This window comes from Homo sapiens, chromosome 7, assembly GCF_000001405.40.
Source record: "Homo sapiens chromosome 7, GRCh38.p14 Primary Assembly".
Lineage (NCBI taxonomy): Eukaryota > Metazoa > Chordata > Mammalia > Primates > Hominidae > Homo > Homo sapiens.
This window is the reverse complement of record NC_000007.14, coordinates 3,451,550-3,470,767: the sequence shown is the minus strand read 5'-3', so window position 1 is coordinate 3,470,767 and position 19,218 is coordinate 3,451,550. Positions and strand designations below refer to the sequence as shown.

Sequence of the window (19,218 nt, the reverse complement as noted above, 5' to 3'; positions counted from 1 at the left end):
CATAAAAAGCCTGGGATTTCGGAAAAGGAATTTGGAAAACTGGATTCTCCTGCTGGCACCCTATTTTCTGTGTCCTTTCAAGTAAACATTCATTTCAGAAATCAGACTATAACTCTTTGTAAGATTTTCCTTTTGTTTCCTGTCCTTTCATACTGCCAAAGTCATAATAAGTCTCCAGCGTACCTAGTTTAACCTCTCTCCCCAAGGTTTTCTTACTGACTAAGAACCTCAAAGCAGACTTCTGTATATATTTTATTTTCTAAATTAACAGCTCATTAGCTGTTCTTAGCTGTAACTCTTTAAAAGGTCAAAATAGTGTATCAAAAATTAAATTGTTTGATTACAAATTTTATATTTCTATACTAAAACTGAGGGTGTTCATGAGATCTTTAAATAGTTGTACACGTTTTCAGGGTAGTACCTTGACTATCTCTGAGGCACACAGTGTATCAGATCCTATACCTATCTGTTAGGTTTGCTCCTAGTAAATAGTATGAACCCAGAGTTTGGTAGAAAATAAGCATTCTGTGCATATTTGTTTAAAGGAGGGAGAGAAGAAGGGAGAAAGGAGGTTGGCATATGGATCTTGGAAATTTTTAGTATGTAGATTCAAACTAGACCAGCTGAAAATTCTTCCTGTGATGCTAAGCCCCAAAAAGGCTGAGAACAAATGGACCCTCTCTAGTATCTTCTCCACAGACCCTGCTAGTGTTAAATATGGAAAAATGAATGAAAGAAAAGCAGTTGCTTCTGGCCATTGATATTACTGCATGCATTTTGTGTCTCGGGTGAAATAAAAAATATTCCTTCATGCCAGAAGCAAATCTCTGCAATCTATAACTTAGGATGAAACCATTGACTAGCATACTTATTTTCGTATGTCTTAATTCAGAGAAACACTTTACCTACCTGATCTGAAATCTTAGGAAGCATTTTCAATTTCTTTGGGAAAATGCCTGACAGATTTATTCTTAATCTCTCTTTAGATAAAGCTCTCTGAAGATCAAAGGGGCCTCACTAAGGCAGATGTGTTTTCTGTCAATGGCTAGGAAGGAAAAACAGACTTCAAGCAAACTGCTCAGAAAATCCTTAAGTAACTAGACGTTAGATGGAGAATACAAAGTCTTTACAAAGGTCATTGGATAAGGAAAAGCTAGGCATACATACACAAAAACTTTCTTTGCAAAAACAACCTAGGAATAGGCCCTAACCGGAAAACTAAGTCACAATTTAGACAAGCTCTCTGCAAATATTAAGAAATACTAAAGAAGTGTACATCACCTCATGCTATTTACTGCAGGTCTTAATTCCTTCCAAGGAATTTCTTATTTATTTTTAAGAGACAAGGTCTTGCTGTCACCCAGGCTGGAGTACAGTGGCACAATCATGGCTCACTTCAGCCTTGAACTCCTGGGCTCAAGCAATCCTCCTGCCTCAGCCTCCCAAGTATCTGGGACGACAAGTGTGTGCTACCACCCCTGACTAATGTTTCATTTGTTTTATTTTTTGTAGAGAAAGGGCCTTGCTTTCTTTCCCAGGCTGGTCTCGAACTTCTGGCTTGAAGCAATTCTCCCACCTTGGCCTCCCAAGGTGCTGGGATTACAGGTGTGTCCTTTGGGGAATTTCTGATGGAATTACATAATTGACACGAAATTCGAAATTTCAAATCACAACAGACTCTGGTCTCTAAAAATAAATAAATAAAATCAGCCAGTACATAATGACATGATCAGCAAAAACTGGCCTTTAAGCCTAACACGTTGTTAATAAGAATATTTCATATGGTAACTTCAGCAATTAGGGAAATACCTAAATTGTGTTAAAAGTTGTAGGAGTCAAGGGAAACCTACCCCCTTCACCCTCTGAAGGTATGCTAAAAATCACTGATGAGAGGACAATGAATAGGAGAAATCGCATCCCAATTTATTAACGTGTACACAGAGGCCTTCATAATGAAGACCCAAAGATACTAGGGAAGTTGTCCACTTTTATGCTTAAGATTAACAAAATACGGACAACACTCAAGAAATACTATTGAACAGAGACAGTACGATCTAATGCTAACAGACTGAGTTCGGAAACCCAGCAGGATTCTTCCTGGCCTCTCTGGGCATGTATTCAATACTCCTTCCTTCTGGGTATAAGGGAGGACACTCTCTGGAATGAGGGTGTTATGACCTACAGTCAAACACCGTAGGTCAGACAATGTTCTTCTGGCTAGTTTTTACACAGAGAGGCAGAGGAAAAGTTAGAGTAATACTTTTAGGTTTTATGGCTGGCTATGGGGAAAGGGGTTCTGGTTTCTATGATCTGCCTTGGGGAAGACAAATTCTAGTTTCTATGGGTAGATTCGGGGGAGAATGCGACTGAGACAGGAGGGCAGGAGAAGGTCAGAGAAAGCCTTGCTTCTAAGGCTTCTTCTGAGGCCTTCATTTTGGGATATTTTCTGAGTCCCAACACAGTTAATAAAATCATATTAACCACTTTTTGTTTATATCATTTCAGAAAACACATCACTGGACATGAGAGAATCACATTTCATTAGTAGTAAAAGAAAATATTATACAGTTATCTAGAAAAGCATGAATAACAGATGCAGTTAAGACTAAAGGAATGTCAAACATATCTCTGAACTTTTCACAACTGAAATGAATGATTTCTCTCTGCTTTATGATTTCTCTCTGCTTTATTTTTTCCATTTTAAAATACTGAGATAAATATTCATTTCTTGCATAGATTACATTATAAATGTCTACAGTGGAAAACGATTTAAAATCTTCATTAAAAAAACATGACAACAATGATTACATCACCTATATATGATAATTAGAAAGCCAGAAAACCTAATAACTACATAAAAGATCTCTAATAAACTTGTGATGCATTTTCAGATTCCTCCAAGCATTTATCAGCAAACAAGCTAATAAAGTCTAATGCTAAGGGAAAAAGACTAAATTTCCATTTAGAGAACAAATTTTAATTGAACACTATCCAATCTCAAATGCTTTACTAAAAAAATTAAGTTTACCTTTAATTTTATCTCAATTTGTAATACAAAGAAACTATGGAAAGAAATCACAAACGAAGAAATTGAATGTAAGGTTTAAACAAACTTTGTTCTTAAGAAAATTTAATAGCTGCAAAACATAAATTCCAACTTCTATCATACTTTAGTACAGATACTGACTTTAAAATAATTTACTATAATTATTAAATATCTAAAAAGCAAAAAAAATCTATTCAGATAAACATCTAGCTAATTTCTCCAAATACCAATCAAAATCCTGTTTTACTGGGTTATTGGTATATTTTTACTTTTTGTATATTTTTTATTTTTATACTATACATTTTTGGTTTTATATTTCTACATATACCAAAAGTACAGTGGGCAACAATTCTTTAATGTTCATGAGTGGGGCTCTTAATTACATGAATAAAAGTAGTTTCCTTTTTTTTAGAGAAACATAAGTGGCATTTAATTGGCTCCAAATGTTTCTCAATGTGCAAATTTCACTGTGCTTTTAATTTTTGGAAAAATGTGAAAGTGCTTTAATATTGTAAAGTAGTACATACATATTACAGAAAAATATTTTTATTGATCATAAAAATACTTTCCCCATGAAGAAAGCAAGTATAAAGAAGTATAAAATAACTTCAATTCAACCAACCAGGTATAATGACTTTTACCATTTTGATGTCTTTCCTTAAAGTCTTTCTATGTGTATGTTTTACATCTCTGTGTGTGTGTGTGTGTGTGTGTGTGTGTGTGTGTGTGTGTGTGTGTGTGTAGAGAGAGAGAGGAGAGAGATTTCGAAGTAACTAGAGACAAAATACTAAGGAAAAAGAATTGGATGGTTTGTAAATATTTCCAGCTTTAAAAATCAATGCCTCCAGTCATTCAGTATCAATTTAAATCCACAGTAAATAATTGGTAAAAATCCTTGGTTATGAAAATGTCCTTTACAGTGTTCAATTTAACTCTGCTTTAGAGAAGGGGTGGGGGGAGATACTTTGCATAATCCTCTTGACAGATTATCATAATCGTATAAATAGTTCTGCCACTATTAGCAAATGCTACAAAAGAAGGGAGCCAGTTATTATTTTAAGTGATAAGCAAGAATGACAAGCAATTTCACATGAAACATGGATATGGAACATGCTCAAAAAACAGATATCCTCATATCGAGATAAGAGTGGATGAAGATGAGTAAACCTGCCAGAAGCAGTGCAAGGCTGAGCTTACTGCCCAAGCTAATGTCTCCAACTGACAACACACAACTTAGCTGGATCCTTGAGATTAGGACGCATACTAGATAAAAATGTGGTGACAGAGTAATGTTCACCTTGTTAGCCAAGTGAGCATGCAGCATTTCTCCAACTTCAGAGAGCCAGCATGGCTTGATGTCACGCTTCCTATTAATGTTTTGAGAAGCAGCATCCAGGACTTCAGGATGGAACATCTCACTTGTGAGGTCAAAGTCTTTTGGCAGAGCCTGCAGAACACGGCTCCCAGAACTAGCATATAAAGCTGAAAATCTGCCTTAGGACTCCTAAGGCTCTCCCTATTCCAATAACTCGATGAAAGGCAGGTAGTTTCCCACAGGGTTTTCAGGTGCTCGGTCATGGCTGGCAACATGTCCAGCAGTCCTGCTCCACATGGTAGTAGTCAAGGCATATCCTGTAACAAAACCTCACCTCCCCTAGCTGAGTTGCCCATCTGAGAAGAGAAAAACCAGCCCCTCCTGAAGCACCATTCAAAGGGTTCCATGTCCATCTTTATCACTCCAGAAAAACAAACAAACAAAAAGAGTGATGGAAAATTACAGCAACACTTTTTATTCACAGACAACTTGGACCATGTGTGAACGCCTTAGGTGTAGTTTATATGAATTTATCCTCTGCACGTCCCTATGGCTGCTTGGAGTGTTAGACTGATGGCCAACCCAAAAGGTGACTCCCTAAAGTACTCCATCATAGGCTGCAAAGCCATTCAGAGAACACCAACACAGTGGTCTCAACTGGCTGACAGGACACTCCTTCACACCTTCCCAGACACGCGCCTGAATGATCATATACGGAGGTGACAAGAGAACACAGGCCCAACCTCTGTCATTTCCCACCCTCAGTAAAGTGGTGAATCAGGATGCGTGTGTTCACAGCACACAGGGGACTTGATCCCACCCATCACCCAACAGTATATGAACCTAGCAATGAGAGCAGTGCAAAGCCATTCAAGGAAGAAAAGGAAGCTTCTGTGGGTATTAAATAACAGGACACACTAATGTGAGGCACAAGAGAGTATCCCTAGTGGAAACACTTCTCAACTTCAGTCTTCCATTGCCAAAATCTCAAATTATGCTGACGTTACTCATTATGTTTCATATGCCTATTTCTTCTCATTTTTATTTTTGGTTTAAGTATTTTTTTACTCATAGTTTAATTTGTATGTGTTATGGAAATGCTGGGGAGAATTATGATGACCTCTAGACGATACCATTCATTGTCGCAGTTGGCCAACTGGGCAGGAGGGCCTCTGCTTGAGCCCAGAATCCAGAGATGCTACAAGTCAAAAAGCACACTCTAGGGCTCACCCTGAGAATCCCACTTGTCACACGGAAGTGCAGGCACAATGCCAATTTGCGTCAAGGAGCTCCCTAACGGTAATCTCACTTACGGATTAGCCCCACCACATGTAAATTCTGACTCTTGACATCTGTAAGAGTTTGTGCCCTCTCTTTCAAAAGTCTTCCTCTGTGGTTCCTCTGGTTAGCAACAATGTTAGCCTTAGCAGCACGAAGTACATTATTTTAAAACTACTCAGTGGAAGCTATAGTTTGATGTCAAATACTAAAGGGAAAAAAAATCACATAAATGTCTATGTTTCCCAAGGACAAATTTAACATGTAATATCATTGTCACAACTTACTCTTTAAAAATTTGTCCAAATTTTTAAAGACTGTCCCGACATTAGTGTGTCCTGTTAAACTGAACTGAAAAATAAGTCAAAATTGAAATATATTTCTGCCAAAGTACTTTATATGTGTGTGTGTGTATATATATATATATATACATACATACACAATGAACGGGAATAATGTATTATACATATTTGCTTCATGCTTCATTTATTATCCTTGTTTTAAATGTTGACTTGAAAAAACAGCTTTTCTCAAAAACAAACAAAAAAAGAGCCACTGACAGAATGAAAGGCATTTCAAGTGTTAACTTTAATACCTTTGTATTTTTAGAGACAGGGTCTCACTCTATCACCCAGGCTGGAGTGCAGTGGCGAAATCGTAGTTCACTGTAGCCTTGAGCCCTTCGGCTCAAATGATCCTCCCACCTCAGTCTCCTGTGTAGCTGGGGCTACAGGCATGCCACTACACTGGGCCAATTTTTAAATTTTTGTAAAGATGGGGTCTTGCTATGTTACTCAGGCTGGCCTAGAACTCCCGGCCTCAAGCAATGTTCCCGCCTTGGCCTCCGAAAGTGTTAGGATTATAGGCGTGAGCCACCATGCCTGGCCCAATACCTTATTTCAACAGAGGGGAAAAAAAAGTTACTCTGTCCCCAAAAAACTGCTTCATATACTTGGAACATGTATGTATAGGTTTCACTCAGGGAACGATGCGTCAGTGTAATTGTTCTCAGAAATAACTGCGTATTTTTAGAATAATTTTTACAATTGGTTAAGTCACAGTAAAAATATACAACGATTTTGATTATTTTTAGATTAAAGCTATCAGAGAAATATAAATGAACTGTAAGAGAAACATTTGACATCTGCCTGGTCCTCTGGGTAATGAAGCTCCAGAGCTGGGAGAAAAAGCCCTGAGGTTACACATGCCTAAGGCAGAACAAAAGAACTTTGGGGCCCTTATGCCTGGAATGTGTCCAAGAAGCCAATTCAGGTTCCAAAGTCACCATTGCATTAGACCCTCCTCCTATGGCCTGTCCTGGAGGGAACATGTTAAAAGCCATCAGACACTAAGGCAGAGAAATGTATGGAGAGACCAGCATTCAAGGAGTGAGACCAGCAGAGAGGGGGAAATGAATGAGGCTCCTCACAAGGCCTAAGCCCTGGCTCCATCGTTTTTTCCTGAGGGATATAAAGTAGTTTAAATAGGCACAGAAAACTCACCTACTTTAGCAAAACAGAAGTTGTAAATACTCCAGTAGTGAAAGCCATGATCCCATGGCTAAATGATCCCATTTACTGGCACTAAATTATGCACTTTTCATTCAATTATATTATTGTATATAATTATTATCCCTATTTAACAGGTGAGGAAGCAAGGCTTTTAGCAAAACTGACCTCTATAAAAGCTTGTCCAAGGTCACACAAAAAGAACGTGTTAAGTGCAGGGCTCAAAACTCAATCTATGTTCATTCATTCATTCATTCATTCATTCATTCATGAATATGTGAGTCCTAACTATATGACAAGTATTTTTCAGCACCAAAGTTAAAATGGTGAAAAAACAAAAACAAAAACAAAAAGATATTCTTGCTATCATGGTTACTGAGATATTAATCAAATCCTCACAAAATTAAATGTAAACCTAAAGGACTATGAAGAATAAGCAAAGCCTACAAATCTCGACCCCATCTCCATGGAGTCAGGGAAATGACACTTGTGTTAAGATCTAAAGCACAGGATAGAGTTAGATAACAAGTTGATGAAGGAAGGGCAAGAAACAAGTGCAAAGCCCCATAGCAGGAGGGAACAAGGCACAATTCACCTCTCAGAGGAAAGGAAGGGAGAACACACGGGGGAGCTGCCAAATGGGGTAGCCCAGGGAGGTAAAATCCATGTGAGGGTCTGTGGTCTTTATCCTTACAGCAATGAGAAGGCAAGCAAGGATAACCTGGTGGGGGTAACATGATATCACTTCTGTTTCCCAAAAGCACGATGTCATGAGTCCCAGACAGACTAGAAAGAACCACAATGGATGAGACTACATCTACTACAGTTGGCCAAGAAAGAGATGATGACAGCTTGCATTAGGATGGCGGCAATAGAGAGAGGAGGGGAGAGATCACAGAGGTGTTTGAGGTGAAAATATGGTGATAAGTGGAGTTAATGTGGATGAGGCATCAAGAAGAATAAGGCATCAAAGTTTATGGTACAGCTGGACTAGGTAGATAGGTAAGTTTGGTCTAGTTCGAGTTGAGTTTGAGATGGCTTAGAAAGATATAAGTAGAAATATCAAGTTAACAGGTAGATAGACGTGATGGGAGCTCAGATAAATTTTTGAATCATCTATAATATTACATAAAAGGACAATTCAAACTATGTACATGAATGAAATAGCTTAGGAAAAGATTGTAGGTTGAGAATGGAACAGAACTAGGTCTAGCTTTGGGAAATGCTAACATTCAATAATAGGTAGACAATGATATTATAATGATACTCAACCTCGGCGGGGCAGGGGGGAAGAGAGAAAGATATTGAGAGGAGAGGGAGCAGAGGTCATTTAGGAGGGAAACCAAGGCAGCATGCTTGTTACAGGTATTTCAAAACGATAGAGCGGCAAGCGGTGAAGAATGCTGCTGAGGAGTGAGATGTGAACTGAAGAGCATCCTTTAGGCCTGGTTTCACTGAAGTCACTGATCAGCCTCTGCAGAGCAATTCTGATAGAATGACAGAAGCGGAAACCACATGAAAAAGGTGTGGGCTGAGGCAGCGAGCAGACAACTCTTTCCGGGAGCTTTGCTGTAAATGCAAAGAGAAGAGGTAGGGTGCAGTAGTTAGATTAGGGAAGGGTTAGGGGAGGTCGTGGTTCTTTTTTAATACAGAAGAGTCTTGAACATGCTTAAATGCCGATGAAACTGATCTGGTTAAGAGCAACAAGTTGGGTATTCAAGAAAGGGAAAAGATAAATTGATAGTACATGTTCCCTAGGAAGACAGAAAAAGATGGAACTCAAAACCCAAGTGGAGATACTGACCTCAGATATTTAATAAAAGGAGGAAATGCTGAAGATAAATGCAGGTCAGTCATTTCTGTAAGTTGGATATTGAGGTTTTTTCCATCTAATGGCTTCTGTTTCTCTGTAACATATAAGGTGATGTCATCTGTTGAAAAGATGGGAATGAGAGAAGGAAAAGGGAAAGTTTTGATCTGAAAAGGAAACCTCACAACAGTTCAACAATGACCAAAGTCACACAACTACTAAGTGACCGGAGGATTCTAATCCAGATTTTTATACTTGAATTCGGCCCTCACGCCACTCCACAGCAACTGTTGCTCTGTTCTCAGGATTTTCTTTCTTTTCTTCACATCATTTCCCTCCACAATGACTTCTGTACAAAGAAATTCTAGCTACTAAAATCACACGATGCTCAGGAAGATGTGGGTGTTATCTAAAATTTGATATCTTTGTTATACCACTCAGAGTTACGGTTTGAAGTAATACAACTTCAGCTATATCAAACAGACAAAGAATTTATGGGAAACAGACCATGTCGCTCACAGAATTGTCACAGTGACTAGAAAACAAGGTTCCAAAAATGGACAGGAATCAAGAGAAACTAGACAAAGCCAAGATGCAACAACAGTAAGACCGCCTAAGGTAAATGCTGGGTCCTAGGGTCTGCACACTTCTAACTCAACAAGGGATTGCTAGATTGCTCTCCTAATTGGTTTGTACAACACATCAACCATCATATATGAGAATCAAACTGAAACCTTACAAGCCCTCAAAAACACGAAAATGTGTAAAATCCCGTTAAATCTGTATATATTAGCAAATTTCCAAGTCAGATATGTATGGTCCTCAAGTTGGCTGTGATTTATTCTTGAATGTTCATGTTTTTATAATGTAAGAAACGTGTCTCTGTCAAAGATAAAAAGGTTGCTATTTAGTCAAGAATCTAGTCTAAGACTTATTTTTAAAATACCAAATGACAAGAAACAGAGCAAGCAGGAAATATGAATAACCTAAAATGGTTTCTGTAAGTAGATTTTCATATTCATTCATTCTCCAATTTATAACAATTGGGCTGGCTGTTTTTAGCCCCAAAATAAGTTTTTAACTGATTCATTCCCAATGATTAAACAAAGCCACTTGACACCACACACAAAACTATTTCTAATTCCTTTCCGATTATTTTATAGAACCTATAAAATAAGGGTAGGCCTAAAGAAAAGAAATGGCAAGATTCAGGTCATTAAATCTGGAATCTGTGAATGAGATTTTGGTGTAAATAAATTATTATGACACACTGACATATAAATTATCCGAATTCCTTCCCTTCTAAAAGTACATTTCTAAATTCCTTTTTAAGCTGCACAAAAAGTTATAAAATCTTTTGAGTTGTCAAATAACCAAAGACAATTCTTAATTCATATTTTCAATAGCATAAACACGTACAGTCTGTAATAGATATTGACTCACATTCCAAAGTGGAGCTCCTAAAAGTTAATAATTCAGTAATTAAATCTTCTCACTCATTTCTTTCTCAGAGCATCCTTATGAAAGGCATAAATTAATCAATCATCCCAGAATACAACTATGGCAAGCAGGTTGTGACCCACATGTACTGCAGTTGGCTCCATTCTATAACTTGGCTGAGGGAAATTTAGAAAGCATTTTCCCATCAAAAAGATAAATGTTTATTTGGCTTGAAACACTTCAGGAAGCAATAGTTTATGAAAATAATAATGTCATTTATTATACCACTTTGAAATATATCTTAATAAACAATAAAATAGACTTCAAAATAAATACTTATCCCCAAATCACTTAATTTTAAAATGTTTGGCAAAAGCAAGACCAATACAAATAAAAATCACTTTCTTTGCTATCCAAGAGGCAGGCAAGTTTCTTAAAATTAAAAGCAAATTACATATTGAAAAGCCTCAATAAACACGAGAGATACCTTCTCTTACCTACACATTATTTCTCTCTCCTTTTCTATTCAAGGAATCCCAATCAGTTCAAACAGTACTGGAGAGGAAGGGAAGGCCCCTACCCCAGGCCAAGGACATGGATCACAACTGGTCTAAACCAAGTGGAGCCATCTCACTACCCTTGATTCATGATCGACCAGGAGGTTCATGTGACCAAGGTCTTCCCAACAATATGCGACGAAGCAATTTATGGGGTGGGGACTTAGAAAAGCATTTTCTTCCCTGATTTTAAAAAAGAGAGCCAATACATTCTACAGACATCTCCTTTGTCCCTTTGTCCTCCTCCCCACTTCCTTCTTGAAACAGGAAAGTGATGCTTCAACTATAAGGCAAAAGCACAGAACAAAAATTAACACATTAAGGAAGGAGAAGCAGAAAGGCAGGCAGAAACTGGGTTCTTCATGGCACTGGGGAGTGGCTACATCCAGCACTATATCGACTGCCTGTCAACATCAGATAATGTTAAAAACTAATACATAAACAGCAAACGATTTGTGCATTTCAAGTCTTTTGAAACCAGCAACATTTAAAAGTGATGAGCCATACAAAAAGTATGACAACTGAAAGCATACCTTACATAAAGAGGAGTATAAAAAGGTACTACAAATACAGTACCAAATTCCTATGAAATGAACAAGGTACTTCAAAGAATAGACAAAACTTCTCATGCAATTTCAGATAAAATGCAAGAGTTACAACAAAAAGAATACACAAAAATCATAGGTTAGAAGATACAATACTATAATGATGTCAATTGTCCCAGGTCAATCTATAGATTTAATGCAATCTCATTCGAAATCTGAGCAGAGTTTTTTGGTCTGTGTTTACGTGTATGTCATTTGACAATTGATTCTACAAGTTTACATGGAAACTTTACATGGAAACTTAAAACTCTTTCCCCCATTAAATAATGATCAAGACAATCCTGAACAATGAATTTAGAGCACTTTCATTACCAAACATAAAGACTATTTGTAAAACTACGGTAATTAAGATACGGTGATAATGGTGCATAGGTAGACAAAACAGACCAATGAAACGTAATCTGTATTTCCTGGAGCAAGTAGAAAGAGTCCTACAAAGTCACTCAATTTAGGACAAAGGTGACACTGCGCTGCACTGGAGAAAGGATGATTATGTTAATTATAATGATGCTGCATCAAACAGACATTTATATAGAAAACAATAAATCATGACCTCTATCTACCTCCTACTCTGGAATTGTAAAAATCCATTCCAGGTAGGTTGTATACTTGTAGATGGTTCTGTTTCTTGCCACAACTGTTACCTTAGAAAAGGTACAAAAAAGTACAAAAAAAAAAATTCTGAAGAAAAAAGGGGGTAGATGGCCTGAAAAAGAACTGAGCAATAAAAGAGGGAAACAAATTTGAAGATAAATCCAGGAGACTTAACAGCCACATAGAAGGAGTTCATTTATTCATCTGTGCAATACATGTATTATATGGACCTACTCTATGGAAACAGTGCTCTAGGCACTTAGGATAGACAAAAATCCCTCTACTTTTAGAGCTTATATCCTAAATGAATTTCAGAAAGAGAAAAGAGAGACAACAGGGGAAAGAAATAATTTTATTACTTCTTTCTGGGAAAATAATATATCTTCCCACAAAAGAAAAACATTAGTTTCCAGATTAAATAACCCACCAAGACCCAGATCAAGGCCACCATGCCACATCAACGAATATCAATGCAAAATTTCAAACCATCAAAGAAAAAGACAAGTAAGAGTATTCCAACAGGGAAAAACACACACACACAAAAAAGAATCCAAGTGTCACTTCCATTGTCAAGAGAATCACTGGAGGCTATAAGGCAAAGGGCAATATAAAATTCTCAAGGAAAATGGTTTTCAACCAAGAACTTTTTACCTAGACAAGTGTGAGAGTAAAATATAGACATTTCCAAAGATCAAAAGTGTCTAAACATTTACTTCTTACACATGCATTCTCAGGAAACTCCCAGAAGGTGTGCTCCAATAAACAAGTAAAACCAGAAAGAGAGAGAGACATGGAGTCCAAGGAATCAGGGTAACAACAAAGGAGACAGGGAGAAGGTGGTGGTGTGAGGTGCCAAGATGAGAGCTGTCTGGAAGACCCAGAGAACAATCAGCTCATACTGATGTGTAGCTCTTAGAGGAAGATCTCCAGGAAGAAAAGGAAAAGGAAATAATAAGCCAGTCAACAAGTTTGGCCATATTAAGCTGAAATTCATACAGTTTAGAGATGAGCTAATCATAAATACATAGAATCCAACCAGGCAAAACAGAAACCTGGAAAGAGAGGAGCTATCCTCATCGTATGCTGTATGGGTCAGCTATGACCAATAATTAATAGTCATAAGGATGTACACACCACATTATGATTGAACCACAAGTTGTGACAGTGGGAAGGTAAAGGGAGATAAGAAGACATTGTGTATAGTGTCTGTGGGGATTGGCTCGGGAAAGGCACAAGAATCAGAAAAAAAAGTTAAATTTTCTTCCTGCAAGAAGAAAGGTGGAAAGAGGCAAACTAACTGGTTAGGAAGGCCAAGACTGAAGGGACAACGTAATGGCAGGGCATCTTATGAACCTCACCTAAGGGAAGAAAGCAAACCAGGCCCCGTGTTTCCTGACCTACAAACAACCAAAGGCAGCAGCTAAGGCAGGCTCACTCCTTGCCCGGACCAAACAGAATCCCAGTAACGACACCCAAGTAAGCACAGTGGCACCAGAAAAGCGGACAACAGAGAACCGCACTGACAACAGTGGTCAGAAGCACTTCTTTCCAGACTCCCTTCCCCCATTAAAGTTCCCAGGCAGCCAGGACTGCGGAAGCACCTTGTGCACCCTTGAGAGGCACCTGCAAGGATCGGGGGAGTCCTATCGGCAGCAGATGAACAAAAGACACCCAAACAGCAAGACAAACGCTCTAAAATTGAGGTCTCATTGGAACCACCCACAAAAGCAGGCCAGAACCTGAGTGCTAAACCTAACTAAGGGGGCTGTCAGCTAAAATAACAGGTTTAAGTAGGACCAAGAGTCTCCTAACATAACAGCCAAAATGTCCAAGAGACACTTCAAAGTCACACATCACAACCAAACCTAGGGGAATCACAACTTGAGTGAGAAAAAGCTAGCAGCTGATGCCAGCACCAAGAAGAGACATATGTTGGAATTATCTGACAAGGATTTTAAAGCAGCCATCACAAAAATACATCAACAAGCAACTATGTATTCTCTCGGAAAAAAATAAAACAAAAAAATCTAGAACTAGAAGTTATTTTTTTAAAAACAAATGAAAGTTAAAGAACTGAAAAATACAATAACTGAAAGATAAACTCACTGAATGAGCTCAATAAGAGAATGCAGATAACAAAGCATAAAATCAGTGAACTTGAAGATAGAGCAATGGAATTGACCAGCAACAACAGAGAGAAAACAGACTGGGAGAAAAATGACTGAACCTCAGAGCCTGTAATACAAAAGCAAAAGATCCAACATTTATGTCAGTAGAGCTTCAAAAGCAGAGGAGAAAGTTGCTGGGGCTGAAAGAATATTTAAAGAAATGATGGCTAAATATTTCCCAAATTTAGCAAAAGACATAAATCTACAGATTCAAGAAGCTGAGTGAAGCCCAAACAAAATAAACTCAAGGAAAAACATAGCAAGACAAATTAATAAAAACTGAAGAAAAAGATCTTGAAATCAGTGAGAAAAACAACACTGTACTTATAGAGGAATAACAATTCAAATAATAGCAGACTTCTCAACAGAAACCATGGAGACCAGAAGGTTTTCAACACATTTTTCAAGTGCTGAAAGAAAAGGACTGTCAACCATGAATTCTACATCAGTGAAATCACCCTTGAGGAATGAACAACAAATAAGAACATTCTAAGACAAGGAAAACTGAAAGAATTTGTGACTAAGCATAGAATGTCAACTTATATGCATAGAATGTCACCTTATAGAATGTCAACTCCTCGCCAAATTGATCTATTGGCTTAACACAATTCCTATCAAAATCTCAGCAAAGTTTTTTTACAGACACAGATAAGACTATTTAAAAATTTATATGAAAAGGCAAAGAACCTAGAATAGCTAAAACAATCTTGACAGAGAATAAAGTGAGAAGAATCACTCTATCCAATACTAAGGCCTACCATATAGCTCCATAATCAAAACTGTGTGGTATCGGTGGAGGAAGAGTCACACAGATCAATGGAACAGAGTAGAGAAGCCAGAAAGACACACAGTAAGATGCCCAGCTAATTTTTTACACGGATGAAAAAGCAATTCAGGGCAAGAATGGTCTTTTCAACATACAGTGCTGGCATAATAGGCATCCATTGAACAATTAAAAAGAAAAATGAATCTCCACCCAAGTCTCACATTTATAGAAAATGAACTTGAAATGAGTCACTTATATGTAATGCTTAAAACTATAGAACTTTTAGAAAAAAAAAAAAAGGAAAGAAAATCTTCAGGAACTAATGGTAGGTAAAGAGTTCTTAGAATTGACTCTAAAAGCAAATCCATATAGAAAAAATTGATTAGATCTATCAAAATTTAAAATTTTGCTTTGTGAAAACCCTCGTAAGATGATGAAGAGACAAGCTACAGACTGAGAGAAAATATCTGCAACCCACATATCCAGCAAAGAACAAGTATCTAGAATATATATTTTTAAAACTCAACAGTAAAAAAAAAACAAAAATCCAATTACAAAATGGACAAATGACACGAACAGATATCATATGATATCCAACACCAGTAGCCATTACAAAAATGTGAATTAAAGCCACAAGATATCACTGCATACCTATCAGAATATCTAAAATAAAAAAATAAGGATAACACCAAATGCAGGCAAGGATACAGAGAAACGGTACCACTCAAGCACTGGTGAAATAGTAAAATGGTACAGTCACTCTGGAAAATAGTTTGGCAGTTTCTTATAATACTGAACACAATTACTATACAACCCAGCAATTACACACTTGGGCACAGATCCTAGAGAAATGGAAAGTGATGTCTGCACAAAAACCTGCATGGAAATTTTCACAGCAGCTCAACAACTGAAAGTAACCTAGATGTCCTCCAAAGGGCTAAGAGTCAAACCATGGTATATTCCATATCATGAAATACTCCTGAGCAATAAAAATGAATTAACTGTTGATAAACACAACAAATCAGATTATTTCCAAGAGAATTATGCTGAGTAAAGCAGCAAATCCCAAAAGGTTACATACCGTATTATAGAAACGGAAAACAAATGTGTTATTGCAGCTGATCAGAGATTGGGAAGGGATAGTTATGAAAGGACAACCCAAGGGACTCTTGCAGTAATGCAACTATTTTGTATCTTGACTGTGGAAACACAAACCCACACCTGTAACAGAATTGCATAGACTTAAATGTACACAGCACACACACACACACACACACACACACACACACACAAATCTTGGGGAACACGAAAAAATCGAAATGCATTAATAAAAGTTCATTTTTAAATGGGAAAACTGAAAAAACGTAACATTAAAATGAATGATAAAGATGAAACTCTAGAAAGTGAGTTGATTTTCATAATCTAGCTGTATCGATTTTATTTGTGGACCTGGTTTTCCTTGATGTAAATTATTTTTATGTATTCTTACTGTATGGTGCCTCCAAATTTTTATAGAATGAGTAAGCAGGCAACCAATTGATCTCGGGTCCAAGTTTATATAAGTAAAAAAGCAGCTGGTGATGTACTGTGAATAGGAAATAAGTTATAACAAAAAAGTTAGCCTTTTAATGAAAATGACAAAGTTCTCAATGTTTAAAAATCTACATAACTTCTAATTCCTAAAACTTCCCAATTCTTTTTCTCCTACAAAACCAGTCGTACATTGTATCAAAATCAGGAAATGAATGTGATTACTTAACAGTCAATCCAAATGTGCCGGGAGGAAATAATACTGTCTCTCAGTGCCATTAAAAAAAATACTGCCAAGGCAGGAGGATCACTTGAGTCCAGGAGATCATTTGAGTCCAGGAGGATCGCTTGAGACCAGCCTGGGCAATATAGCAAGACCCTGTTTCTATGAAAAGTAAAAAAAAAATTAGCCAGACATGGTGGTGCACCTGTAGTGCCAGTGAGTGGAGAGACTGTGGCAAGAGGATGGTTTGAGCCCAGAAGTTCCAGGCTGCTCTCCCTCTGGAGGCTCTAAGGGGAAATCTGCTCCTTGCCTCTTACAGTAGGCAGCTGTCGGCATTCCTTCCTGTGTGGTCGCCACTGCAATCTCTGCCTGCAGTCACAGTGCCTCCTCTCCTTTCTTCCCCTCCCTCTGTGTCTCTCTCTCATATGGATATTTGTACTGGCATTTAGGGTCCACCAGATAATCCAGGATAATCTCTTCATCTCAAGATCCTGAATTTAATTACATCTGCGAAGACCCTTTGTCCAAATGGTCACATTCACAGGTTCCAGGGATTTGATGTGGATACCAAATGTGAGGAATAACATTATTTGGCCCACCAGGGCAACTTATTCAGGGGACCAGGGCTCTGCATCCCTTACAAGCCAGTGATGTTCCTCATGCCCAGCCAAGTTCTAGAGCCATTGTTTAAGCATTAGGACAGGAAACTCCCACAGTGCAAGGCACTGGCTCTGCTCAGATACCAGTTCAGAGGCTTCACAAGTTGGTGAGGGAAAGAGTTGGAAAACCGGGGGGGGTTAAACTGCTCAAAGTTCTAGACACCAGTGGCAGGATGGGTACCAATGGTGCTGTGACACAGGGTCCACTCTATCGTGGTAGCAGGACAGAGCTGAGGAGGCAATGGCAAGACGGGGATGGCAGTGGCATTAAAACCCACAATGGCCATGAGTAGTTTTCTCAAGGATGAATCAGGTGGAATAGGGTAACTGATTTTAACAGGGGCAGCATAATGAAGTATGTTCTGTGGTGAAAAATAAAACAAAGAATCACAGAACAAAAGGAGGGAGGGAAGAAAGAGATGACCTAGGCAGGAATGGGAAGAGGAATTGGACTCTTATCACAACACCCTGCAAGACTTCTGGAAACAGTCAACAGCGGGGATTTCTAACAGGGTGGTGGAGGAGGGGAGGGAAATTCCACACAAAGTCAATGACTATGTATATTTCCTTGAATTCTAAATGTCACCGTACATAGGACAATATTGTAGGAAGTTCTTCTATAACATAGCTGGTTGGCAAATATTTCCATCTTTCACTATTAGCAAGAGTGCCTTATATTAGTATGAAAGTGTACACAAAATTAAGTCCTCTCAATGTGACATTTTATTAGTAAAGGTTTTGATTTGTTATTAATGCATGTTCATCATAACTTTCTTGCTTTTTTGACATACTAATTATAAGGTTACCTTTATTACAGGGATGTTTATAGTAAGAGGCTCTCTACAATTGAAAAGCAAATTAGTATATCTGTTTTTAATGGAAGGGTACATCACTCACAACCTGTCAGTTTCTAGTATCAATCACCTGCTTCCAAAGAGTGGCAGAAAGCAACCAAGTGCTTAGCAAAGGCAACACATAAAGCCAGCACCTAAGAATCTGGGGTATCTAGCACCATCCTAGAGTCCTTGAGAAAATAACCACTTGTTCTTAAGAGGTTAGATAAAATTCTACCTGTCCTAAAGAAAGCTGACACGACAAAAGCCCCAAACACACTGAACAGATAAACAAAAATGCTCATAACTTACTTTAATCATGTGAGTCGGCTTACCCTTGAAATCCTTAAAGAATTTATACAATTTAACTCAATACAAATTTAGTTCTCTATCTCTGTTTTTAAAATACAAGTTCCTTCACTGTAATGAGTTCTGAACAGATTATGTTTTCTGTATACAAAAAAGAGTCAATATTGGAGTCAGAGCTCATAAGGAGAGAAGCCTGCGTGCTATGCTAACACTCCCATTTGGAGGCTAGTCTCTTTGCAATTGCCCAACACCACCTGCATACACTTCTCTAAGTCTTTCACTTACTACACTAGTTTGATTGGCCCAGTACAGTTGGTTTTTAAATGTTTATGACTGAGAGAAAAAATGTGGACGTTTTGAAGGAGAGCAAAATGGAAAGTGATCACGCAGAGTAGAACCCCTGGTGGCCGACAGTACTGTTTAATTTCATACCTGTATTGTTAATCAAATATTGGCTGTAGCTTAAATTTCAGTAAATCACTCAGTCCTATGTTACATGTAAATCCTCAGGATAAAAATATCTCACATAGTGAAAGATAATGGAAATTAGATGAAATCGACTTGTTTCTGATTCTAC

At 37.9% G+C, this 19,218-nt stretch overlaps 1 protein-coding gene and 1 pseudogene across 1 annotated transcript in view, besides 1 other annotated feature; both read right to left on the bottom strand.

The window, feature by feature from the left end:
• The window catches only part of SDK1 (sidekick cell adhesion molecule 1), a 967,749-nt gene that overhangs the window by 798,233 nt on the left and 150,298 nt on the right, over positions 1 to 19,218 (bottom strand). The window lies entirely within an intron of this gene.
• LOC100421742 (NIF3 NGG1 interacting factor 3-like 1 (S. cerevisiae)) lies at positions 4,326 to 5,253 on the bottom strand (annotated as a pseudogene).
• Positions 17,399 to 17,793: a silencer, noted in NCBI's record as "fragment chr7:3492607-3493001 (GRCh37/hg19 assembly coordinates)". NCBI's record gives its function as "represses an EF-1alpha promoter that drives an FKBP-Casp9 reporter gene in an ReSE screen in HepG2 liver carcinoma cells {active_cell/tissue: HepG2}" and the evidence as "EXISTENCE:reporter gene assay evidence [ECO:0000049][PMID:32094911]".